The 25,282-nt window shown below is 47.9% G+C and overlaps 1 protein-coding gene and 2 long non-coding RNA genes across 3 annotated transcripts in view, besides 3 other annotated features; 2 read left to right on the forward strand and 1 right to left on the reverse strand.

Annotated features, from left to right (window-relative positions):
* The first annotated feature begins 68 nt into the window (after window positions 1-68).
* Window positions 69-2,236, forward strand: LOC101929234 (uncharacterized). Its single transcript, NR_110304.1, has 3 exons — window positions 69-352; window positions 1,042-1,096; window positions 1,204-2,236. It is a non-coding gene; the product is annotated as an uncharacterized LOC101929234 (long non-coding RNA).
* A 14,774-nt stretch (window positions 2,237-17,010) lies between these two features.
* Window positions 17,011-22,522, reverse strand: LOC107984293 (uncharacterized). Its single transcript, XR_001747703.2, has 2 exons — window positions 22,434-22,522; window positions 17,011-21,222 (listed from the first exon to the last, which is right to left on the reverse strand). It is a non-coding gene; the product is annotated as an uncharacterized LOC107984293 (long non-coding RNA).
* Window positions 22,344-22,844: an enhancer, noted in NCBI's record as "H3K4me1 hESC enhancer chr10:77191190-77191690 (GRCh37/hg19 assembly coordinates)". NCBI's record gives its function as "activates a minimal SCP1, AML or CMV promoter by ChIP-STARR-seq in naive H9 embryonic stem cells {active_cell/tissue: H9 hESC(naive)}" and the evidence as "EXISTENCE:reporter gene assay evidence [ECO:0000049][PMID:30033119]".
* Window positions 22,486-22,585: a silencer, noted in NCBI's record as "silent region_2516". NCBI's record gives its function as "represses an Ori minimal core promoter by ATAC-STARR-seq in GM12878 lymphoblastoid cells {active_cell/tissue: GM12878}" and the evidence as "EXISTENCE:reporter gene assay evidence [ECO:0000049][PMID:35858748]".
* Window positions 22,536-25,282, forward strand: part of LRMDA (leucine rich melanocyte differentiation associated) — a 1,128,545-nt gene continuing 1,125,798 nt past the window's right edge. Inside the window, exon 1 of the mRNA NM_001305581.2 lies at window positions 22,536-22,666. Coding sequence (NP_001292510.1) covers window positions 22,637-22,666 — 30 coding nt within the window. The 5' untranslated portion in view covers window positions 22,536-22,636. The remainder of the gene's footprint in view (window positions 22,667-25,282) is intronic.
* Window positions 22,845-23,345: an enhancer, noted in NCBI's record as "H3K4me1 hESC enhancer chr10:77191691-77192191 (GRCh37/hg19 assembly coordinates)". NCBI's record gives its function as "activates a minimal SCP1, AML or CMV promoter by ChIP-STARR-seq in naive H9 embryonic stem cells {active_cell/tissue: H9 hESC(naive)}" and the evidence as "EXISTENCE:reporter gene assay evidence [ECO:0000049][PMID:30033119]".

Consider the following 25,282-nt stretch of genomic DNA (forward strand, 5'->3'; position numbering starts at 1 on the left):
CTCCGACGCCGCGGCCTGGACCCGCCCCCACCCAACCGGCGCACCACCTCCCAGGCACCACGGAGCCTGCGCAAGCTGCGGGGCCGTAAAGGAACCGGCCCCCAATCTCCGGGGCTTCAGTCCCGCCCCTCTCTCCCCCCAGTGCCCTGCAGCGCTCCCAGGGTCCGTGTCTGCCCTCCCCAAGCCCCCACTGTCAATACAATCCCTGTTAAAAAAAAAAAATCTTTTTAGAGCCAGGCACGTGCCGTCGGCCTCTCCCCTGCCCGCCTGGCCCAGGAGGCGCCCACACCTGCGCCCTCACTTGCCGAGACTTTTACCTGTGCAGTCCCCGGCGGCGCCTGCAGCCGCGCAGGTAACCGAGAAATGGAAGGGAGGGCTGGGGAGTGAGAAGGACAGAGAGCACCGCCCGACACAACCAGACGCGCGGACCCGGGGCCTCCTCTCTGGACCGGTGCTGGGGCCCTGGTAGAACCAGCTCCGGGAGCCGAAATTGAGCCATGAAGAGTGGGCCGAGGGAGGGGCGAGGGGAACGGGCCTCAGGAGGGAGGGGCGGGCCCGGCGGCACTTCCGTTGGGGGTGGGGCTGCGGGCTGCCGCGCCGGTCCCGCCCCTCCGCCGCGCGGGCCCGCCCGCTCCAGGCCAGGCTCCGCCCCCACCGACTCGGAGCTGGATCTCAGGCCACGGCGCCCCCCCAGTCGCGCCCCCAACCCCGGAGGCCTCGGGCTGAACCGGGTTTCGCAGGAGGGCACAGGGCGGCTCCCTTTTCCTCACCTGGGGGTACTCTCTTTTTAAGTCATAGGAACAGAAGCATCTGCAGACTAGGATCCCAGGCCCAAACTTGCACGTGAGATTTGTTGAAACTTAGGTCATTTGGTACTCCTGACACCTGCCTGGCCCAGGGGTCCTCACGCTCTCTCTGCGGATGTGATCAGCCGTCCTCTTGGACAGTGGGGAATATAGTCCGTGCTCATAGGGTCCCACCTATCTTTCAGGAAGAACAAAAGCAAAAACTAACACTTTTTGATTGTTCATTTTGTGCCAGGTGCCATTTAAAAATTTTGTATGAATTATGTCCTCGCCCACAGCGACTCTCTGAGGTAGGTACCATGAATGCCCCATTTCATAGATAAAGAAATTGAGGCACAGAGAGAAGAAATCTGCCTTGCCTCACCCGCATCCCATCCTCATCCCTTCTTTCCTTCAGATCTGGGGCATGCCAACTCCTTACTCTGGGGGAGTATTGGAGGGAGAATTCTACTTTTCTGATGGGGGAGTACCAGCCTGTTAACCACAACCATTTGCAGCTGAAGCCAGTGCAGAGCAGGAGGGAGATCTGCACAGAGGAGAACAGTATAAATGGCATGGGGTCATCTCAGCCCCTGGCCAGCTCCCAGCCTAATGGGAAAACCGGACCATTGAGCATTCCTTGCTGTTTCCCTGTAGTCCCAGCCCAAGCCAGCATGCTCTTTTTTTAAAAAGCAAATCCAACCATGTTTCTCTTCTGCTTAAAGGCATCCGGGTTCCCATTGTTCTTGAGAACAAGTTGAGCTTGCCTCCCCTGGCTGGCGGGTCTACACTGGCTCTGCCCCAGCTTGCCTTTCTGCCTTTGTCTGCCTCCACACCCCCTCACCTGGAACTCCTGCTACCCAAGGCTTCCTTTTAGTTCCTCAAATGTGCCATGCTACTCCCCACCTCAAGGGCTTTGCTCCTGCTTTTCTCTGTCTCTCTGGAATGACCTGTCCTTCTCTTCACCTGGCTTGCGCATACTCTTCCTTCAGGTCTCAGCTCACACATCACTTTCCTGCATCCTCCCGCCTCCCATTACCCTCACTTATAATAGAATTTCCTGTTGAGAGTCTGTCCGCTTCACTGGATGGTAAACTCCCAGGGGGTAGGGACTAGGGCCGTTCCTTCAAGGAACAAATGAAGAAGGAACATTTGTATAAACCACCAACTATGATGAACGAATGAAACTGCCCTTTTTGGGGCCACCAGTAAGTATTCTCCATGGTCTCACATTCCAAGATGTTCTCAACTTAATGAGGGCGATGATACAAATCTCATGAAAACATATGTTATTTTGAATGCCTTTATTGTAAATGTCAAATAAGGGGATGCTGGAGGAGGTTGGAGAAGAGGAATATGCATGGATTACAGCCATTTATTCAGGGTTTCAAGATGCAAGATGTGTTGGTTGACACAATTTAATGGAAAACCATGCCACCCACGACCATCTCCCAGTGTTGGGCATGTATGTCTCAAGGCTCTAGCCTGCACCCCCTTTCCTCTTCCTTTCTTCACATATTATTGCTATCACAGTTCAGTTCTTACTAGTTTCTGACTTAACTGCTGCTACAAGAACCTTCTAATTGTTCTGCCCATCCTCCACCTCTCCTGCCTCTAATCCATCATACATACTCCTGCTGGGTTAATTTTCCTGACCACATCATTCCCTTACTCAAAACTCTTCAGTGGCTCCCTATGATACAGTGTAACACTTGACTCTTCATAGCCCACTTCCAAACTACTTTTGTAAAGCTTTAAGATGCATTCCAAAATTATGAAAGAAACACATGTTCACCTCAACCAGGAAAACACTCAAAGATATACAAAGAAAAACATCAGTGATCTTCCTCACCTCCTCTGCATTTCCCACCCAGTCTCCCAAGACATCCATTGTTAAGGACCTGGGGTATAACTTCTACCTCTTTCACCATGCTCCATGCTCATAATAAACTATATTCATATATGTGGAGCTATTGTGTTATTGCCTATTTATACAAAAAGGATTATATTAGGGGTCTCTGCAACTCGCTCATTCATTCTTAATAATAAATGGGTCTATAGATATGGAATGAATATATTCATTTTTTAGCTACATAGTAATTTTAATTTATTTTTATTTTTTTTTAATGTATGTATATATGTATGTATTTTAGACAGGGTCTCACTTTGTTGCCCAGGCTGGAGTGCAGTGGCACAAACATGGCTCACTGCAGCCTTGACCTTCCAGACTCAAGCGATCCTCCCGCCTCAGCCCCTCAAGTAGATGGGACTACAGGTACACACCACCACGCCTGGCTAATTTTTGTATTTTTCGTAGAGATGGGGTTTTTCCATGTTGCCCCAGCTGGTTTTGAACTCCTGAGCTCAAGGGATCCACCTGCCTTAGCCTCCCAAACTGTTGGGATTACAGGTCACCATGCTGGCCAGCTACATAATGTTTCATAAGATGTATATACTGCACCTATTCAACCATTCCCCTATTAGTGGGCACATAGATTGTTACCAGGTTTTTTTTGCTAATAAAATTTCTTATGTCTATATCCTTGCAATTAGTGATTTTACTTCTCTAGGATAGTTTACCAAAAGTGCAGCTACTTACACGTCAGCCAAATTGAATTTCTTTGTTCTCCCCACATGCCCTGTGTTTTCCTTCTGTCTCCTCTCCTTGGAAAGCCCTTGTCTTCCACGCTTGTGTGTCTAACTTCCAATCCTGCAATGGTCAAATCTGATACCAGAATTTAGATATATTATCTGATATCCACCTCCCTCCACCTTCCTCATTTGAAAACTGTAGTAGTGTACCAGGCCCAGGCAGTGGTTTGCGATTGGCATAGGCCAATCATGACAATCTTGTTTTCATCTTTCCCTTGCATCCCTGTAGCTGGGTGGCCATGCAACCTATTTTGGCAAATGAGGAACAAGTGGAAGTACAGGGGTGGCAAAGCAGTAAGCGAGTGTTGAGAAGCACTCTATTTTCATGATCAAAGGGGATGATGCCTATGGTTAGACCCTTCCCTTTCCCCTCCTTCCTTGCATGAGCTTGGACATAATATCTACAGCTGTAGTAGCCATCTTGTGACTATGAGGGAAAGTCCTAGAAAACAGAAGAAAGAAACTTAATCCTGATGTCATTGGGACACTGAGCCATCACCAACAATCCTCCTTCTCCAAAACTTTTATTTTGTTAGAAAAATCCCTATTCGTTTAAGCCAGTGAAATTGGGGATTTTTATAATTACAGACAGACATATTCTTCACCTTCTTTAACAAGAAATACCACCCTCCGTCTCAAAAAACAAAAACAACAACAACAACAACAAAAAAACGAAATGCCATCACAGTGGTCCAAAACAGTTTTTAGAAACTTATATTAGAGACTTGCCTTCAAGTATAGTTTTTGAAATAGCCTCAGAAGCAGGCAAACATTTTTATGGCATGGCTTTGGTATTTTAGAATGGCCAAAAGACACCTGGAGGCAAGTGTGGTAATACCTTTAACCTTCAGTGCTACAAGTAAAGTATTGCATGGTGGACATTTAATTTCTTCCTACTCATTTGGTTGCCTAACATCTGAATCCTCTTCCTTGTTGGAAAGCAGGGCCTGCGTCTGATTACTGAAGTGGGAGAGGCCACATCCTCCCTCTCTCTGCCCTCTAACCAATGGATGCTCCCTACCTGGGTCTCAGACTCAAGGGGTGAGCAGAGGATTGTGGTAGTTTGGAAACTCTTCTCAGTAGCAGCAGTGAGCCCAGTGCAATAGCATTGACTAGGAAGGGCAGAGAGGACAGTCACTGCCATGTGCACTGTGATCATGGCAGCCACTCAGGCAGTGGCCTAACTCGGCTGGTATGGTAGCATGGCCAGCCGCATTTCCATTTCCCAGCTGCTGACAGTTCCTGTCCATTTCCCAAGTCTAGGTCTCCAGTCTTCCCACTGATTCTGTGAACTTCCTGATATCCTTCTGATACATTCCTTTTCTGCTTAAGTTAATCAAAGCTAGTTCTGGTCACTCACAACCAACAACGTCAACTGATTTGCCATAGCCTGGCTGTTCAGGTGGCTTCTAAACAGGTCCAATGGTGATTACTTCTTAGTTGTGTCTGTGGGTTCCTATGATGGGTACTTGTGTGGGACTCCAGCACCAAACAGCCTGGCTGAATACCAACCTAGCCAGGTAACGACTTCAGCTGAAAAACTGATCAATGCAGTAAAGAGAAGCAGTCAGGTCAGCATTGAGTGAGAGAATCACACTTGGTTTTACTGAGTGCCTACTGTGTCCTGGACACAATTCTAGGTAGCTTACAACATTATCTTACCTCTTACCAAAGCCCGGTGAGAAAATGATTTTTATCTCCATCTGGTTTGAGAATGTACAGAATTTTTTCCCTTCTAGCCCTTCCCTCCCACAAGCCTGGATGACACCCAATATGTCTGATGAAGGTGTCTAAGGCATCAAAGGACACTGTCAAGATCGACCGCCTTAGGAAACAATCAACTCTGCTTCTTCTTAGCAGAGCTTAAGAGCTTAAGAAACTGGTACCTTGGGGTGCTCAAAAATGTTTGTGGAATGCAATCAATGGCACAGAAACATCTCCAGGGGACATTTCCTTGGGAAAGTCATGGCCTGAAGCATTTGAGGTCTTGTGTGAGTATTGGGGGAGTACCAGGGAAGAGGTAGGTTTTCCCTACTCACTGCACTGCACTTTCCCAAACCTTGACCTTGGCCAATATGCTTCATGTCTCTGGGCTTAGTGTTTATTCTTCTTTTCTCTTCTTTTTCTGTCTCTATCCCTACTTTTTCCCTTCATTTCCCCTCACCTTTTCTGTTAATCAAGGCATTAATAAGGACACAAATGATGTCATCTTACTTTTATTGCCTACATAGTCTACCATATGCATCAACTACATTCAGTAAATATAGGTTAGGCCAGGTGTGGTGGCTCATAGCTGTTATCTCAGCACTTTGGGAGGCTGAGGTGGGAGAATTGCTTGAGGTCAGGAGTTTGAGACCAGCTTGAGCAACATAGTGCGACCCTATCTCTACAAAAAATGAAAAAAATTAGCTGGGAGCGGTGATGCACACCTGTAGTCCCAGCTACTCAGGAGGCTGAGGTGGGAGGACAGCTTGAGCCCAGGAGATGGAGGCTGCAGTGACCTGTGACAGCACCACTGTACTCCAGCCTGGGAGAGCAAGACCCTGTCTCAAAAAAAATTAATATATAGGTTATATAAATAGATTTTTAAAGATTTGACTTTCTTAGTCCCCACCTTTGTAACTGAACATGCTGCCCCGCAGTGACTCCTACCAGCTCTTTGACCACATTCTCATATTCACAACGTTTTACTTGAACAGCCAAAGGCTTTATCATGTTCTCAGTCTCCCTGCCCTGCTGCTTCAGAAGAAAAGGGCGACCAGCCCCTTCAGCGGGGGTGGAGGTGTGCAGTGAGAAGTGGCAACAGTGGCCCAGGGAGCTGGCTGGTGTTGGGAGGGTGGGTCTGCCAGGCTGTGGCGGGGTGGGGGGGGGCAGGCACCACTGGACCTGCCACCAATGTGGCAGGATTGGGGGGATCTGGTGGGGATCAGCTCTGACCACTAGCATCATCTTTGACCTCTTTCCCCCTTAATCATAATTAGCACCCAGACTGTGTTGACTGATTCTCCCTTTGAAATGGGAGATCCACAAGCATTTATGGAAGGAGCAAATGAGTTACTTCCTGCAGAACCCAGGTGTGAAAGGAGTTAGTAAACATGCCAGAATGAGGCCGGCAGTCACGGGAACCAAATGTAGATTAACCCAAAATGTCACAAAGATAAAAAGTAGGGGAATAAGGGCTTTTTAGGAAGGATGGCATTCCATCTTCCCCGAAATGCTTCTGCCTCAAACTCAGTTCTCCTCAACACCCATCTGAAATCCTCCTACGGTAGCCTCCCCTAGTCCTACCTTCCCAAACACTGCTTTGATTGGATCCCACATTGCTCCAAACCCTCATGGACAATTCATTTTCTGCCAAAAAGCATTTCATGTGCCTTAGCTTCTCTCCTTCAATCCGTTTTTTTTTTTTTTTTTTTTTTGAGATGGAGTGTCACCTACTCTGTCACCCAGGCTGGAGTGTAGTGGCATGATAGCTCATTGCAACCTCTGCCTCCCAGGTTCAAGTGATTCTCCTGCCTCAGCCTCCTGAGTAGCTGGGATTACAGGCGCCCACCACCACGCCTGGCTAATTTTTATTTTTTTGGTAGAGACAGGGTTTCACCATGTTGCCCAGGCTGGTCTTGAACTGCTGGCCTCAAATGATCCACCCACCTCGGCCTCCCAAAATGTTGGGATTACAGGCGTGAGCCACCATGCCTGGCCGCTCTCCTTCAGTCTTACTGTCAAGACTTGCTTTCCACTGTCCCTGAGGACCAGCCATCCAGCCAGCCTGGAATCTTCCCCCTGCACCAACACACCCTTCTTTGTCCCATCTGTACTCATTAGGCTCCCTCCTGTACCATCCAGCTCAGGACACAGCACCGCCCTGCCCCTCCGTCCATCTGATTAGAACATGGTGCTTCAGCATGTGGTGGTCTCTGGGGCATGACTGCTTGGGTCTAAGGAACAGCAGTACCACACTTGCTAGATGTGTGACCTGGGGCAAGCTTCTTCACCTCTCTGAAGTTTCAGTTTCCTCTTCTGCCAAATGGATGTAATAATGATCTCTACTTCATATGGTCGATGGGTAAATTAAATGAGACAATGCATGTGCCTGGCACAGAGAGTGCTCAAAGTGGTCATTATTATTATTATTATCCCGTGTTCTTTCTTACCTCTGAATCCTGGCGTGCTTGCTGTCTGTGCCACTCATCTGGCACTTAATTATCTACTAATTGATGATATATTTTATTAGCTATTTAAATTCTTATTGTTTAGCTTTTTGTGTATATGTGTGTGTTTAACTTTCCAATTAGATCTTAAGCTCCTCCAGGGCTGAACCAGATGCCTTCTTTATACTCTCAACACAGACTAGCAGAGAGCTAAGTAACAAGCAGGCACTAATTAATGAACACTTACTAAAATGGGTAATAAAACATTCAATGCCTGTATAGTTTTTTCACAACCAGGATCTCCCTTAATCCTCGCAACAATCCTATAAGGCCTATATTGTTATCCCCATTTTACAGATGACGAAACTGAGGTTCACAGAGAGAGAGTCAGTTGCTCAAGTTCCAAAAGTAAGGGCTCTCTGTGGCCTCACAAGAGCTTCCTTCAGCTTTCAGAAATCCTGGCAATGCCTCCCTCTCATGCTCTAATGACCAAAACACACCTTCTCTGCTAACCCAGTTAAGCATCCCTGACACCTCTAACATTCTTTCCATGTGCTCATGGGAAGAGATGTTGAAGATATATCGTTAAATGGAAAAAGCTGGTTATGAAAGAGCAGGGGTGCACACAAACCCACAGCAAATACATATCACCTAGAAAGCTGGCTGCAAGGGAGTCTATGGGACCGCTGGTCGTCTTAGGGGGTGGGGTCGTGGGTGATTTTAACTTTTTCTTGCTCACCTGTAGTTTCTACTACAAACATTCATACTTTTAACATTGAGAAAAAAACAATACAAGTTTTGTTTGCTTACTTGTTTAACAGAGACAATGATGCAAGCCTCCTAGTTGCCTTTTACTAACAAATGCTCCTAGTGGAGGCAAGCTCTTCCCTCTCCCTTCCTCCCTCCTCACTCTGAGCCAGGTGGGCAGAGACCCATCGCTGGCACTTATTAGTCACAGGTTTGAAATGCAGGGGTGGGTTGGGGAGGTAGAAGTGATTGGTGTGGGGTGGGAATTTGGGGATTCTTTTATCCCTTGCATCTCAAAGGCTGACAGGCTCTTGAGGGGTGGAAATGACTGGTAATTAGTGAACCTTCTCCAGAGTATACACGAAAGACACACTTCACAGTCTCCGTGACCTCTGCAGCCCGGTGAGGCTTTGTTATGTAGATGCTCTTAATTGGGTGAGTCACTTACTGCAAACAGCTTCAGGAGAGAGCGCTGTGGGCTGTTTCAGGGAGGCTTCCTACTAGGGCTTCTAACTCAGGAATTAGAGGGGTTGACAGCAATGGCCTCCAGGTAACTCCACTCCCACCCCCATAGAAATGAGAAGTGGTCCCCATGGTTAGAAGTCAACACAGCAAGCTTTTAGGGCATCTTGAGTATGAAGAGTGTTAACTGATGGCCTTCATCCTCCTCCTCCTCCCACTCTCCATCTCCCTCTTCTTTCCAGTTTATTGATTATCCATTCTGGGCGAGGCTGGGAATATTTTGAGATATAAACTGGGTTCCCTTCATTCAAGGAACTGACCACCTAGTTGGGAAGTCAGGAACAGATATGCGTGGACATAACACCACCAAAAAGCAGGCATCCATGTCAGGCCCAAGGAGATGCATTAAAATGACATTTCAGATCCTGGAGCAGTCACTGAAGGCTGGACCATCAGGGAAAGCCTGTCCACAGGGACAGCAGGACTTGGAAGGTGTTCTGGGGAGAGGGATTCCCGGGATTCAGAAACTTTACAAACAAAAGCATCTTCAGGTCACTGTCACACCCAGAGCTGTGGCCCCCAGCACCCTAAGCGTGGTGCAGACGTCAGAGACACAGAGTGCACTGTGGGAATGACTCATGGGTGCTCAGGCAGGCTGTTGGTCCTACAGAGTCCCATCTGCTGCTTTCCCCAGAGGAGGGCACAATGCATGAAGGCTTTCAAATGCATCATGTCCCAAACGGAACTTATCATGTGGTATTTTGGTGAATGACAGCATCTAAGCTCCTTCATCCTTTGCTCCCAAACAGGCATTACATTAAGGCAGTTGGGCGGCAATCTCTTTGCAACCATCCCCTCCTGTCCCCTTGCATCCCTATTGCTGCATTCTCTCTTCAGGCCCTCGCCACCCTTTCTAGGGGTAGGATACACTTGCAGGGTCTCTGCGGACATTTTCCTACTCTCCCCCTTCTCAGCCATCCTTTCCCAAACTGTCAGATTGATTGCTCTAAAATGCCGACGTGCTTAATTTTACTCCCATTGTCCTCAACGTGAGGCCTAGTCAGCTCTTTCCCATCTGGCCCTTGCCTGCCTCTTTTGCTGTCCAGATCGTCAAGGTCACCAATGACCCACAAATTGTTAAATCCAATGTTAATGCTCAGTCCTCCATTTACTTGGCCTTAACCAGCACTGGACGCAGTTGATCATGCCATCTTCCTTTCAGTCCTTCACATTGTATTTATTTATAACATTTTCAAACATATGAAAAAATAGGACAATGAATGCCCAGTACCCTTCACTTCAACTCACCACCTGGCAACACTTCGCCACATTGGTTCTCCCTCTCCTCCCCACCCTGCCACACACAATTTTTGGGAACCATTTGAAAGCTGTGGGCATCTTGATGGCTACTCTTAATTTCTTCATGTCCTAAGGAAAAGGATATTCTATTATGAAACCACAAGACAGCACAACGCAGAAAAGTAATGTTAATTCAATATCGTCAGTAATATTATCAAATAGTTCACATATAAATGTTCCCAGTTATCCCTATCATGTCTTTTTAGCTGTCCCTCTTCCAGTTCCAGTGTTCAATAAAGGAGCATGCATTTGACTTGGCTGTCATGTCTCCTTGGTCCATTTTTATCTAGAACAGTTCTCCCAGCCTTTTTGGTTTTTCATTATATTATTTTGGACAGTCTAGTGTTATTGTCTTATAAAACATTCCACTTTCTGGATTTGTCTGTTTCCTCACCCATGGATCCTGGTTAAACTTTTAATGGCAAGAACAGCATGCAGGTGGTATGTACTTCCCATTGAATCACATCAGAGGCCCATGATGTGAGGTCGTATCACCCTTGGAGATGCTGTCTGAGCTGTTGGTTAGGGTTGTGCCCCTTAGATCTCTCCACTGTAGAGGTACATTTTTCCCTTTGTAAATTCCCCTTTGTCTGTGGGGTGACACTTTGTGTCTATTTTTAATTTAATTTTATTTTATTTATTTTGAGATGGAGTCTTACTCTGTCGCCCAGACTGGAGTGCAGCGCCATGATCTCAGCTCACTGCAACCTCCACCTCCCAGGTTCAAGTGATTCTCTTGCCCCAGCCTCCCAAGTAGCTGGGATTACAGGTGTGCACCACTAGGCCCGGCTAACTTTTGTAATTTTAGTAGAGATGGGGTTTCACCATGTTGGCCAGGCTGGTCTCAAACTCCTGACCTCAAGTGATCAGCCCTCTTCGGCCTCCCAAAGTGCTGGGATTACAGGCGTGAGCCACCGCACCCGGCCTGTGAGGTGATACTTTGGAGGCCATGCAAATATCCTATTCATTCCATGCTTTCAACATCCCCTGGTGATCCTTGGCAACATTGGTTATCACCTTGGGAACCCTGTCTTTTCTGATCACTTTCTTTTCTTGGCTCCCAGGCCCTAACTTGCCTTTGATTCTTCCTTTCCTCTCCAGTTGCTACTTCTCAGTCTCTTTGTGATTCTTCCATTTTCTTTGACCTCTAACTGTTGGAGGGTTCTAGGGCTCAATCTTCAGATCTTTTTCATCCTGTCTTTTGGCTTTATATGCCACCTGAAAGCTGAAGACTCCCAAATTTCTAACTCTAGTCCAGATCTGTCTCTTAAATTCCACACTCATGTATCCAGTTTCCTTCTTGTCATCTCCACTTACAAGCCTCAAAGTCAAGGCCAGGCACGTGGCTCAAGCCTGTAATCCCAGCACTTTGGGAGGCTGAGGCTGGAGGATCACTTGAGCTCAGGATTTTGAGGTTACAGTAAGCTCTGATTGTACCACTGCACTCCAGCCTGGGCAACAGCGAGACCCTGTCTCTAAAACCCAGCCAACTAAAAATAAGCATCAAAATCAACTTAGGCCAGGCTTGGGGGCTCACGCCTGTAATCCCAGCACTTTGGGAGGCCAAGGCAGGCAGATTGCCTGAGCTCGGGAGTTTGAAACCAGCCTAGGCAACATGGTGAAACCCCATCTCTACTAAAAATACAAAAAATTAGCTGGGTGTGGTGGCGGGCACCTGTAATCCCAGCTACTCAGGAGGCTGAGGCAGAAGAATCGCTTGAACCTGGGAGGCAGAGGTTGCAGTGAGCCGAGATCGTGCCACTGCACTCCAGCCTGGGCAACAGAGCGAGACTCTGTCTCAAAAAAAAAAAAAAAAAAAACTCAAACTTATCAGGTCTAAAAATGACCCCTGATGCCCTTCACCCTCTAATTTTCTCATCCATTGCAATTCATTTATTCAAAAGATATTTGTTGGGCTGGGTGTGGTGGCTCAGCCTGTAATCATCAACATGTAGGGAGGCCGAGGCAGGTGGATCGCTTGAGCTCAAGAGTTCGAGACTGGCCTGGGCAACATGGTGAAAGCCTGTCTCTACAAAAAATACAAAATTTAGCTGAGCATGGTGGTGTGTGTCTGTGGTCCCAGGTACTCGGGAGGCTGAGGTGGGTGGATTGCTTGAACCTGGGGGCCAGAGGTTGCAGTGAGCCGAGATCTCACCACTGCACTCCAGGCTGGGGGACAGAGCCAGACCCTGTCTCTGTCAAACAAAACAAAATGCAACAAAAAATAAAATCAAACTATTTGTTGAATGCCTACAATCTGCCTGACATGACTCTACATTTTGGGAACAGAGTAGTAAAAAAAAAAAAGAAATTCCACCCTGTGGAGCTTACTTTCAGTAGGGGAATCAAAAATAAATAAGTAAATAGAGAGCAATGAGTGCTGTGGAGAACCATACAGCAGGGAAGGGGGACGGGAGCACCAGGGTGGACAGGGTGATTAGGGAAGGCCCCATTGAGAAAATGAGATGAAGCCGAGACCGGCAGAAAGTGAGGGATGGAGCGTGACAACTCTATCCTTCTGGCTGCTCAGGCAAACACCTTGGAGCTACGCTTGACTATTGGTTTCTTACACTTTCCATGTCCAATCCATCAGAAAATTCTGTTGATGCCATCTTCAAAATACATCCAGGCACTGTTCACAGTCCACAGGATTCCTGTGACAGCCTGCTGTCTTGCCTCCTGGCCTCTGTCCCTTCTCCATGATCCATTCCCAGCACAGCAGCCAGAGCAGTCTTTTTTTATTTTTTTTATTTTTTTGAGACAGAGTCTTGCTCTATCGCCCAGGCTGGAGTGCAGAGGCCCGATCTCGGCTCACTGCAACCTCCACCTCCCAGGTTCAAGCAATTCTCCTGCCTCAGCCTCCCAAGTAGCTGGGATTTCAGGCATGCACCACCACACCTGGCTAATTTTTGTACTTTTAGTAGAGACAAGGTTTCATCATGTTAGTGAGGCTGGTCTCGAACTCCTGACCTTGTGATCCGCCTGCCTCGGCCTCTGGAAGTGCTGGGATTACAGGTGTGAGCCACCACGCCCGGCCCAGAGCAATCTTTTTTTTTTTTTTTTTTTTTTTTTTGAGACAGAGTCTCACTCTGTTGCCAGGCTGAAGTGCAGTGGCCCAATTTAGGCTCATTGCAACCTCCGCCTCCTGGGTTCAAGCGATTCTCCTGCCTCAGCCTCCTGAGTAGCTGGGACTACAGATGTGCCCCACCACGCCCAGCTAATTTTTGTAGTTTTGATAGAGACGGGGTTTCACCATGTTGGCCAGGATGGTCTTGATCTCTTGACCTCGTGATCCGCCCGCCTTGGCCTCCCAAAGTGCTGGGATTACAGGCATGAGCCACCACACCCAGCCAGCCAGAGCAGTCTTTACAAAATGTGAGTCAGATTAGGCCCATCCTCTGCTCAGGACCCCCGATTTAGCCAGGAGTGCTCATGCCTGTAATTCCAGCACTTCGGGAGGCCGAGGCGGGCAGATCCCGCAAGCTCAGGAGTTTGAGATCAGCCTGGGCAACATGGCAAAACCTCATCTCTCCAAAAAATTAAAAAAACATTACCCAGGTGTAGTGATGCGCACCTGTAGTCCCAGGTCCTCTGGTTGCTGAGGTGGAAGAATTGCTTGAACCTGGGAGGTTGAGGCTGCAGTGAGCTGGGATCATTCCACTGCACTCCAGCCTGGGTGCCAGAGCAAGACCCTGTCTCAAAAACAAAAACAAAACAAACAAAAAACCCTCTCCATCTCAGGTGGAGTACAAACTCAAGTCCTAACCTCAGCCTATTTGGCCCTACATGATCTGTCCCCTTCACACCTGCCCTGTGACTTCACTTACCATTACTCTCCCCCATCACTAACTCCAGCCCGACGTGCACTTGCTGCCTCAGGGCCTTTGCACTCGCTGTTCCTATTGCTAGGCACATTTTCCCCCTAGAAGTTCACTTGGCTCTCCCCTACTTCCTGCAGATCTCAGCTTCATCTCAGTTTCTCAGTGGGGCCTTCCCTCGTCACCCTGTGTACCCGGCACTCCTGTCCCCCTTCCCTGCTGCGTTGTTCTCCACAGGACTCATCACACTCTGTATTTTCCTTCTCCCCTTCCCCTTTCCTTTCCTTTCTTTTTTTCTTGTGTTGCTCTGTTACCCAGGCTGGAGTGCTGGGATCACAGCTCACTGCATCCTCATCCTCCTGGGTTCAACTGATCCTCCTACGTCAGCCTCCTGTGTAGCTTGGACTACAGGCGCGCACCACCATGCCCAGCTAATTTTTTGGTAGCTTTGTAGAGACAGGCAAAACCACATTTACCAGGCTGGTCTTGAACTCCCGGGCTCAAACGATCCACCCACCTTGGCCTCCCAAAGTGCTGGGATTACAGGCGTGTGCCACCACACCTGACCTCCTTGTTTATTTTCTGTTCTTCTACTGAAAATGAGCTCCACAAGGGTAGAAACTTTCTTTTTCTTTTTTTTATAGCTATGTCTCCAGAGTTTAGATTCCTGTCAGGCAGACAGTAGGCACTCAACTAGTATTTTTTGAACAAATGAACTGAATGAATAAATTTCTAGCACCTCAGTATAAGCTATAAATCCTCTCAGGTTTAAGGAAGTACTGGTACCTATAATGTCTGCATTCTCTACTGGCCACTAGTAGCTATTTCAGTGAGACGGGAGACCAAGACATGCCTAGGAATGGGGTTCAGGGTTCAGACCATAGCTGTGAGATGGCACACATGGATCCAAGGTTGGCATGTGTCTCACGTGGCTATGTGCTTACATGTATGTTTGTGGGCTTTTTTTTTTTTTTTTGAGACAAAATCTTGCTCTGTCACTTAGGCTGGAGTGCAGTGGTATGATCTCAGCTCACTGCAGTCTCCGCCTCCCTGGTTCAAACGATTCTCCTGCCTCAGACTCCCAAGTAGCTGGGATTATAGGCACCTGCCACCACACCTGCCTAATTTTTGTAATTTTAGTGGAGATGGTGTTTCACCATGTTGGCCATGGTGATCTAACTCCTGACCTTAAGTGATCCACCTGCCTTGGCCTCCCAAAGTGTTGGGATTACAGGTGTGAGCCAATGTGCCCAGCCTGTTTGTGTGCTTTTGTGTGTCCACAAGATTCTGTGCCAGTGCAGACATGCATAAGGGCCAGCACTCCTTCTGCGTTTTTCCCTCTTCAAGAAAACCACAGATGCTTTATAGAGCTGTGGAACCTCTGTGTGTCCATGAATGACTCTGCTTCCAGCTGCTGCATCCCAAAGCCTTAGTCCACCTGTGATTTGGAGCTGAGGAGCAAATCAAAGCCAGGTGCAGCTGTACTGGAAGACTCTTCTTTCTGGTTGGAGTGACACTTTGTCCTTGGAAACAATCGAGTTCAAGTTCACCACTCAAGCATAAGCAAAGTGACTACATGAGACTAAGAGAATGTGTTTGCTATTCCCTCTGCAAACCCTTCTCCCAAGGCCTTCCCATGACTGGCTCCATCTCATGATTCTGACTTCAGCTCAAATGTCACTTGAGAGAGGCCTTCCCAGAACATTCCACAGCTGTCTGAGGCCATGCAGTTTGTGCATCACAATAGCATTGTGCAGAGGGGGTGAGTGGGGACAAAATCCAGCCTGTGATCCACTCCTCAAGGATTTCATAAGAAAAAGGCTTTGGAGGGCGAGCAAAGACCTTGGACACTGTGTCTAGGTTAGCACCCCCCATCTCCCATACCCTGTCTCACACTGTCCACTTTTGTCTTCATAGTATGGATGACTGCTATCTGAAATGAGGTATTTTGCCTACTTGAAATTATGTTTCAACTTGTTAGCTGTCTTCTCCCACCATAATGTAAGCCTCACAGGAGTAAGGACTGTATCTGTCTTGTTACTATTTGTCCTCCCAGTGTTCGACACATAGTAGGTGCTCAATAAATATCTACTAGTGAGTGTATTCTCTTTCTTTTAGTTTTATTTTTATTGATACATAATAGATGTATATATCTTGGGAGTACATATAATACATTTATATAATTTGTAAAGATCAGATCAATGTAATTTTTTTTTTTGAGATGGAGTCTTGCTCTGTTGCCTATGCTGGAGTGCAGTGGTGCAATTGCAGCTCACTGCAACCTCCAACTCCTGGGCTCAAGGGATCCTCCTGCCTCAGCCTCTCAAATAGCTGGGATCACGGGTGTGTGCCACTGTGCCCAGCTAATTAAAAAAATTTTTTTTTTTTTGTAGAGATGGGGATCTCACCATCTTGCCCAGGCTTGTCTCAAATTCCTGAGCTCAACTGATCCTCCCACCTCAGCTTCCCAAAGTGCTGTGATTACAGGTGTAAGCCACTGTGCCCAGCCTCAATGTAGTTCAGCTATATATAACTTTAAATATTTGTCTTTTTGCTAGGAACATTCAAATTATTCTCTCCTAGTATTTTGAAATATACAATAGATTTGGGGAGATGTGCATTTTTATCTAAGTAATCAATAGCTCCTTAGATCAGTTAGTTTGCATTTGAGGAAACTGAGGAACTTAGGAGTGGAAGGATTAATCTAATCTATGAGCACCCAGTGAGTTAGTAGCAAAGCTAGCTCCTGAACCCAGCTCTCCTAGGCCAGGGCACCGCCCACCACAATGCTCCAGCAGTATCAACCTTCATCTGGCCCTCAGAATCTGGCACTGGTGGTGCCAGGTGCACTTGACACTTGCTTTGCCCCGGGTTCACAGCTGCGAAGAGAGCCTGGGCTTCTTTCGGAGAAGTGGGAAGAGACTCAGAATTAATACTGGTAAGTCACACCGGAACCCTTATGTGCACATTATTGCCCCCCCATATATTCTAAAATAATCCCTGTAAATAATTATAAAAATAAATCTCAGGGACAAATTTTTTATTTCCAGGAACACATTTATTCATCATAATCTCTTCAGGGGTGGGACAAATTGGAGCACTGAGTAGTGAATACAATTTGCAAATAGGCAATGTAAGTAGAGAGAAAATTAATATGTATTCCTTGATGCTCTAAAAGGAGAGGAAGAACATTAATAGCCATTTCCTTGCAGACATAACTTTCAAAATGTTATTTCTGATCTATCAGCGTGAGGCTCCATATGAGGAAAATGGTTGCAACGTGACAAGAAGTGATTAGATGTGAAATGGCATCTTTCAGGTGCTCCTCTCAGCCTCCTTATCCTGTTTTTAGTGGGACATAGGAGGAGTCCTGTTTTCTTTTCTGGCCTGGGGTCACCTGCTTATTTGCTGGGTGACCTTGGGCAAGTCCCTTCTGCCCTTTAAGCCTCAGTTTCCCTCATCAGTAATTGGAGTAGATGATTTCTAAAGCAGTGAGTTTTGGATGATCATAAATCCAAATTATTTTGGGAGTACTTGAGAAAAATACAGATACTAGGGGACCACCTTAATGAACTGACTACCAAGTTCTATGTATTTTAATTGAGGGTGGGAGGAACCCTTCCCCAACTTCCAAGTGGCAGAACCTCTCCAAGTCAAGCTGGGATTCTGGAAAGGTGCTCCCACTGGAAATAGACAGTTGGGTGGGTTCTCTTTCCCTCTTGAAGGTCCAACGTGAGCCCCCCTCCTCCAAGTCAGCGATGACTTGCCTCCCATGCCCAGCCAAGGACTTGGAGTTGCGGCGAGTTCCAGGTAAAATGGGAAATAAGATTTGTTTCTCATTGCTGTTTTCAGGATTTGTTAAAATAGTACTAAGAGATTAGCAGATAGTAGTTTTCATGGTAAATTCTCTATTCTGTGCCAATCTCCTCCTTTTTTGTTTTTAATTATAAAAGTAGTATACGCATGTTACCAAAACCACAGAAGAAATGGAGTGAAAAGCAGAAGCTCCTTTCCCACTCCCACCTTCCTCAAACCCACTCCATTCTCCACAGCCAACTAATGTTTGCATTTTACTTTATTTTTATTTTTCTAGCAAGAGAATCTTACTATGTTGCCCAGGCTGGTCTCAGTGCTAGATTACAGGTATGAGCCACCATGCTCAGTCCTATTGTTTGCATTTTCACAGAGAAATAATGACAAAACCTTTTAAGACCTAAAGAGAAGGAAAACAGCCATGTGCGGTGACTCATGCCCATAACCCCAGTACTTTGGGAGGCTGAGGTGGGTAGGTCGCTTGACCCCAGGAATTCAAGACCAGCCTGGCCAACATGACAAAATCCCATCTCTACAAAAAATACAAAAAAATTAGCCAGGTGTGGTGGTGAGTGCCTGTAGTCCCAGCTACTTGGGAGGGTGAGGCAGGAGGATCACCTGAGCCCTGGGGTCGAGGCTGTGGTGAGCTATGATTGCGCCACTACCCTCCAGCCTGGGACCCTGTCTCAAAAAAATAAAAATAAAAAAAAAGAGAAGGAAAACTAGAGGCACTGAGAATAATAAATTAACATTTGTGGAATGAACACTCATCCTAGATATTATGATGGTATTTAATATATATTTTTAAAAATTCAGTTTGTTCTGATTGGGAAATACTGGAGGGGCTTTGGAGCACAGATCATCCTCAGTCCCCTCACATATGTGCAAGTACTTTGAAGAGGGCCCTGGAAACCTTTCTTCTTTCCTGCACTTCCTAGACTTTCTCCTTTAGGCTGAAAGGGGGCTGCTTCGGCAACAAAGAGCATTTCATAAGCGGAGCATTTCTTAAGTAGACACCCCGCCTTTTTTTTTTTAAATTGAAATTTGAATGTGGTGAGTCTGAATTAGGGCCCACGGCATGATTAATTACAGCAACCATCTTAACCTGCCCGGGGGCTGGGCCTGAAAGAAATGAGGCCAGGCTGAAGAGAAATACAGCTAAGGATAGTTAGGAATGCTAACAAAACTTGGTTAACTGGCCCTGTTCTTCTCTCAGCTGCTAATGCACAGTTGGAAGATTTAAGGAATCAGTTCCTGTTTCACTGGTTCTGGCCGACCCCAGAATCAACTCCCTTGATTGGAAATAAACAGGATCTTCCTTTTTGTCCCCAGGAATGTGATGGAGGAAGGACTCTAAGGCAAAGGGCCTCTTCTGCCAAAGCAGAATAATAATAACAATGATGACAATAGGAATAAAATATTGCCCTCTTCATCAAGGGCGATAAGAGAATGTCCAGTTGTATGAGTTGAACCTTGTTGCTCTCTATGTGCCCGTCAGAGCTCCAGAATTCACAGGCTCAGGGTGGTCAGCATAGGTTGGATTTGAACTTTCTGTTTTGTGGTCCTCCTGAGTGCACTTGTACAAGCTGGGCTACGTGCTTCAATTTGGGGTTCAGAAAACAGGATCACAATGACAGCACTTCTTGCTGACACAGTGCTGTGAATGTCTGTGCACAAGTCTGAGCGTCTCTCCTGAACAGTATTAGTCAGGGATGTCCCTAGTGCCTAGCACAAGGCCAGAAGCTGGGGCACAGCGGCTGTGAAGTAAGATGGGCAGGATAGGAAGCTAGCAGCTCACTTTCAATGAGTCATGGAGTGGGGTGAGAGGACCGTGACTGCATGAGCCCATATTTTACCTCAGTGCTCCTGGGGCTGGGGCAGAAAGAGCTGTGTTCAGGACGAAGCCCCTACAGGACTCGTCTGCTATGTTCACCCTTGTAAAGTCTTTGTATTCCGGAGGAATTATTTGTCTAACTCCTAGGTCAGTCTTATCTCAGTGTTTTTTTTGTTTTGTTTTGTTTTTTGCTCTCTCCCCTCCCCGAGGGAGGGCTACATTATGGAGGAACTTTACTATTTCTGTTTAATCTTCCTTTTTGTTGGCAACAGTGATAAGGAGGTAGAAGGATGTTCCCCCTCCCGGCTTCCAATCTTCCTTGGTCCAGGGACACAGATTCTTTTTCTTTTCCTTTTACCTTTCTCCCTTCCCCCCTTCCTCCTTCTGTTCCTTCTATTCTCCTTTCCCCTCCTCCTTCTCCTTGTTCTTCTATTCTGAAGACTAACTCCAAAAGCTGAGGAGTAAGGACAGGTGAATCCAGTTTGTTTCTGCTGGTGTCCTCCCCCAACAACATTCAGGAAATTACTTCTGCTACGGTCTGAACATTTGTGTCCCTCCCAAATTCATATGTTGAAATCATAACCTCCAAGGTCTTAGGTGGAGCCTTGTGGGGGGTGATTAGATCATTGGCGTGGAGCCCTCAGGAATGGGATTAGTGCTGTTACAAATGAGGCCCACAGGAGCTAGCTTGTCCCTCCTACCATTTGAGGACACAGGAAGAAGGCCGTTGTCTGGGAACCAGAAAATGGGCCCTCACCACACACCAAATCGTGGGTGCCATGATCTTCAGCTTCCCAGCCTCCAGAACTGTGAAAAATAAATTTCTATTGTTTATAAGCACCCAGTTTATGGCATTTTGTTACAGCAGTCCTAGTAGACTAAGACAACTACTTTGCTCAAGAACTTTCAATAGCTCCCTATTGTTATCAGTTTACAGTTCCAACACTAAAGCCCCCCTCCAACAGAGCTATCCTGATCTTAATTTTTGTGATTTCTGCACATGATCCTTCCCCACACCATCAACTGGCCTTCTTGATGTGTTCACCAAGCAGAGACAGCAGTAGGTGGGGAAGCATTTCCAGCTGAAACTAACAGCTTCTGTGAAGCCAGAGGACGGGAGAGCTGGGACAGGTGGCTGAAGAGGTAAGAATTGATGGGATTATAAGAGATCTTCAGGGACATACTAAAGATTCTGGACTGTATTAATTATTACTTGATTAGGAGCCATTGAAAGATTTTAGGTAGGATCTAATTGGGCTTTTAAAATGGTTGCCCTGGGGCTATGTGGAGGAGGCAACAGTAGTGAGAGGGTGTGGAAAGGGGGAAAGATGCCAGCCCACTTTGGTGACATTGGTAGTGTCTGCAGAACAGCCTATGCTCAGATGACCCAGCTGTGTATGGAGGCAGGGGGATGGATGAGATGACCTTCAGTAACCCCCTTCTGGTGGGGGAAGGGAGAGCCGTTCTCCAATCTCATCTTTGAGTCAGCTTGGGCCTGTTTCCACAAGTCCTCTTCCATCTGTCAAAGCCCTTCTAGGAAAGCTGAGCTGAAAGGCAGCTGCGGAGGGCAGAGTGCTGGCTGGGTCCGGGCTCACTTCCTCCTTTTCAGGCAGGAAAAGCAGACAAAAGTGCACAATGGACCAGAGAGGGCGCGTCCAGCAGAGAAGGAGGGAGAAGGCGGGGGAGCTGGTCCTTGGGGCAACAGGCCTGGGAAGGTTCCCTTTGATCCCCTTATCTCTGGAGGGTAAGCTTTCTTTTTTGGCCTGCAGGACCTTTTGTTGCAGCATTTCCTGGAATCCCCCAAAGTAAACACAGTCAAGACTGCATTCTTACTGCTCTACTCTTCTGAGCCTGCTCCTCCCAGCTGAGAGAGGGGCAGGAAGGTCAACCCTCCGAGATCAACACTGCTCATCAAAATGCTGACAAGGGCCCACCTAACAATGTGTTAGGACCGGGGCTGTCTGAGAGACGATGCCAGTTAAGGCTGGGCTGGCTCTTAGCTGCAGCAAGAGTGGAAGATGACAACCAGTTGATATCTGGTAGCTCTGTGCATCCTGGACTTGGAGGCAAGAATAGGCAAGGAGAAAATCTGGATCCTTCCAGAGAATTTCAGAGAAAAACAGGCATGGGTTTAGGGAGTTACCTGCCCACTGGGCCTACTTTCATCCAGACAGGAGGCCCGTGGCCAGCTCTTCCAGGTGGGGATGGGGTGGGTGGGGAACAGCGAATAACCCCACTGATAACTTCAAGCCTCACAAATCTCTTGCCCTCTGAGGAGCAGGAGAAGAGAAGCCTGAAATTTGGGGTCACCAGCCAATTATCCTTCCCCAGGGTTTATTATTGTCAACTCTTAGAGGCCACAGGGAAAGGGTGGGGTGGTCTTCACCAAGCCAGCGTTTTATTTATAGGGAAATTCAACCCCCCCAATCCCCCTCCCCTCCTACAAATGGAAACTGGGCCGCACCAGGAGTCCTTCAACCTTCTAACTTTCCCTCTCCCCAGCTTTGATGAGGAGGGGCGTTCAGCCAAGAGGCCCCTCCTCGCTGCAGTTGAGGTCCATTATGTAACCCAGCTTGCGAAATGCAGGAAAGGCCCGGCTGGCTACAGCCCGGCTAACGGCTCAGAAAGGGCGCCCCTGATAGGAATACCCCCACCTCAGGCGTGGCCCAGACAAACGCGATAAAGCTGTGGGCATGGAGTTTTGGGCATTGGGACATCCGGGGGAGGGAGGGGCGCGGGCAGTCGGGGTCAGGCCGCCGTCGGGGCGCGGGGCGCTGCGGGCCACCTGTTGCAGCGGGCGGCCAGGGCTCACCTGCGCGGAGACCGGGCCGAGGGGCGGCGGCGGCGAGCGGCGGAGCTGAGGTCCCCGAGGCTAGCCCGCGCCTCCGGCTTCCGCCGGGTCAGCTGACTGCCCAGTGCGGAACTGTGCGCCCGCCGCGCTCCCCTGCCGCGCTCCCCGCTGCTGCCGCCGCGCCCCCGCGCTCCGTCCCGCGCGCCCGCAGCGTCCTGGCCGCCATGGCCGGGCTCGTGGTGCGTGGAACTCAAGTAAGTCCCGGCCAGCCCCGCCTCCGCCCGGGGCGCAGTCCGCGTGGGGAGGGACAGCGGGGCACAGAGGCTCCCCAGGGCCTAGACACCCCTGTCCCCGCCTCAGGGGGCTGCGTCTGCAGGGGGTGAGCTTCAGGTGCTCAGGCTCGCCCTAGTGGGGCTAGGACAGACCTCGTTTCGGGCCTGGCACACCCCCTTGATGTGCGGGAAGAACACCCGCAAGGTCTCCCGTTCTCCCCACTTCCTTCTGCCCTTAGCGCCTCACTGAGCAGGCCCAGCGGACACAGTGCTGACGGCCCCCGCTGCTTTTGGGGGCCCACAGAAAATGTTCCAATTTCATAATCTGAATTTTAAAAACTTTTGGTCAAAGAATCCATTTTGATAAATCACATTGATATAGTCATCTTTATACCAATGCAGTTGTAATATACAAATTTACTTATTTGTAAATGGAGGAAGGGGTTTATGAAGGCAAAAGTGTCTAGGGTACCCAAAGTCCCAGCACATCCCTGGAGATGAGGGTGCTGGTGGGCCCTGCGCTGAATGGGCTACGCCATAGCCAAAGGCTGATGGAAGGCCACCGACCTCCAGTTCTCTTTCCACACTCGATTTCTTGAACAGGAGTCTGTGATGAATGGCAACACGCCAGTTTCAATCCTGGGTGCCAGACACCCAGTCTCACATGCTTTGAGCTCTGTAGTGAAGCCTCAGGTGTTCATTGTTGGAGGGATGAACCCAGCCACTCTGGGACCAGGTGTCTTTCTTACCTGCTGGAAAAGCCAGTTCTCTGTCTTTAACCTCTTCTCTGCTCTGATGAAGCCAGAGCCCTCTTACTTCCCACCTTTCCCTGCACACCCTGGAGAAATAGTTCTGAGTTTTTGAAGCTCTCCTCTTGGATTGCCTAAGGCAGGTAGTGTCAGGCACAATTGGATTTTGAGATTACTTTGGGCTGAAGGGAATGATTCCTCCTTAGAGGAGATTCTAGGGGTTTTTACAGCTCCTACAGATGCAGTGAGGGCCAACTGTGCAGCCCATTAAACTAGCCGCTGCCTGTTTTCTTTTTTTCCAGAGTCCTGTCGTTTCATCAGGTACACATGTTTATTGAGTGCCTACTGTATGCCAGGCACCATGCCAGGTGTTGTTGGAAATTAGCCTTTCCTTTGTCTCTGTGCACCCCCCATTTAACAGTTTTGTTGCTCAGGAATGCTGGCTCTGTCCCTTGACCCACAGCCTGGGAGGAGAGAGCTGGAGAAAGACCAGAGTTCAGAAGTGAGTTAACAGCCTGCGGAGAGGCTAAAAATGACGGGTCTTGTTCAGCCATCGGGGAAAGGGGCTTTTTTTTTCTGGGAGTTAATTTACTGCCTGGAGGGAGGGGCTGGACAAGAGGGTCTTTTCCTTCTCTTGGAGTATCTACCTAAGAAGGAGGGTTCCCTGCCCCCCAGACCCTAGGTCTCTCTGCGTTTCAGATTTGGTGTTCTCCCGGTGTACCTTGCTACAAGTTCATGGGGCTGAGCACTTTCCTGTGCTTCCTTTCCCTTTGCTCTTCCTCCGTTTCCTAGATTCGATTTTTCCTGCAGCCCCTGTTCTTAGCCTACTCCAAACAGCCCAAGGGCATTCATGGAAGTGTGGGTGAGGCATTTTAGGCCCTTGGGGACTGTTTTATTAGACCGAGTTGCCTGGGGAGGAGCTAAGAAGGTAGGCTGGGAAAATGCCCCTGGAGTCTTAGTGCCCCATTTCCTAAACTGCCCAGGTTAGTGGATTTGAGTGTCTGGCCCCGGAGGTGGTTTTTTTGTTTGTTTGTTTGTTTGTTTGTTTTTTCTACATTCTGCTCCCAGCGATTTCTAATGGCGGCCGCTTTAAGAGGTAGCACCTTGGATGTGGGTAGCATGGAACAGTACTTGTCAGACTTTAGTAGATCCTTCTTAAAGGGAGGAAAATAAAACCCGCAAAACTTCCCATGAGCCCATAGTGTGAATATAGTTTTTATTACAATGTTACTCAAATATAAAAACATGAAGCCAGAGACAACTTTCCCATATCCAGAGACCTATAAATCCCAAATAAAGGGATGGTTTAAGTGCAAAGAAAAAAAAACCCTATGCAATTAAACAATTTAATGAGATGAATGCTGCGTGGCTTGAAGTTAGGTCACTGCTTTTAATGCCACTATGGGTTGACTGCTGTGGAGCTGGTTTTTAGGAGCTCCACAGGCCTATGATGCCACATGCCTGGGGATGTTGCAGTCTTCCTATTGCTTTTCTCTGCAAAAGGCTTTTCATTTGCCATGGGTCTGACTTCATTTGGCTTCTCTTGGCTTGAATGCATCATTTATGTTCAGCATTAAGTCATTTCTCTTTCCTCTAGCTTATGACAACGTAATACGATCGTAGACACAAATACAAACTTGGAATTTGGGCACTGAAATCTTGCGCCCAAGAGATATTGGAATAATGAATCCCTTCTGTGGGGAGAGTGGTCTGATTCAACAGCTGTTTAACAGAGTGGCCACTGGGTGCCAAGGACAGTGTTGTGCACTTTTAATATGTTAGCTCATCGCATTCCTGTAAGTACAATAGGGACGATAATATGCATGGGGCTGTTTCATGAGGATTGAAT

Source organism: Homo sapiens, chromosome 10, assembly GCF_000001405.40.
Source record: "Homo sapiens chromosome 10, GRCh38.p14 Primary Assembly".
Classification (NCBI taxonomy): Eukaryota; Metazoa; Chordata; class Mammalia; order Primates; family Hominidae; genus Homo; species Homo sapiens.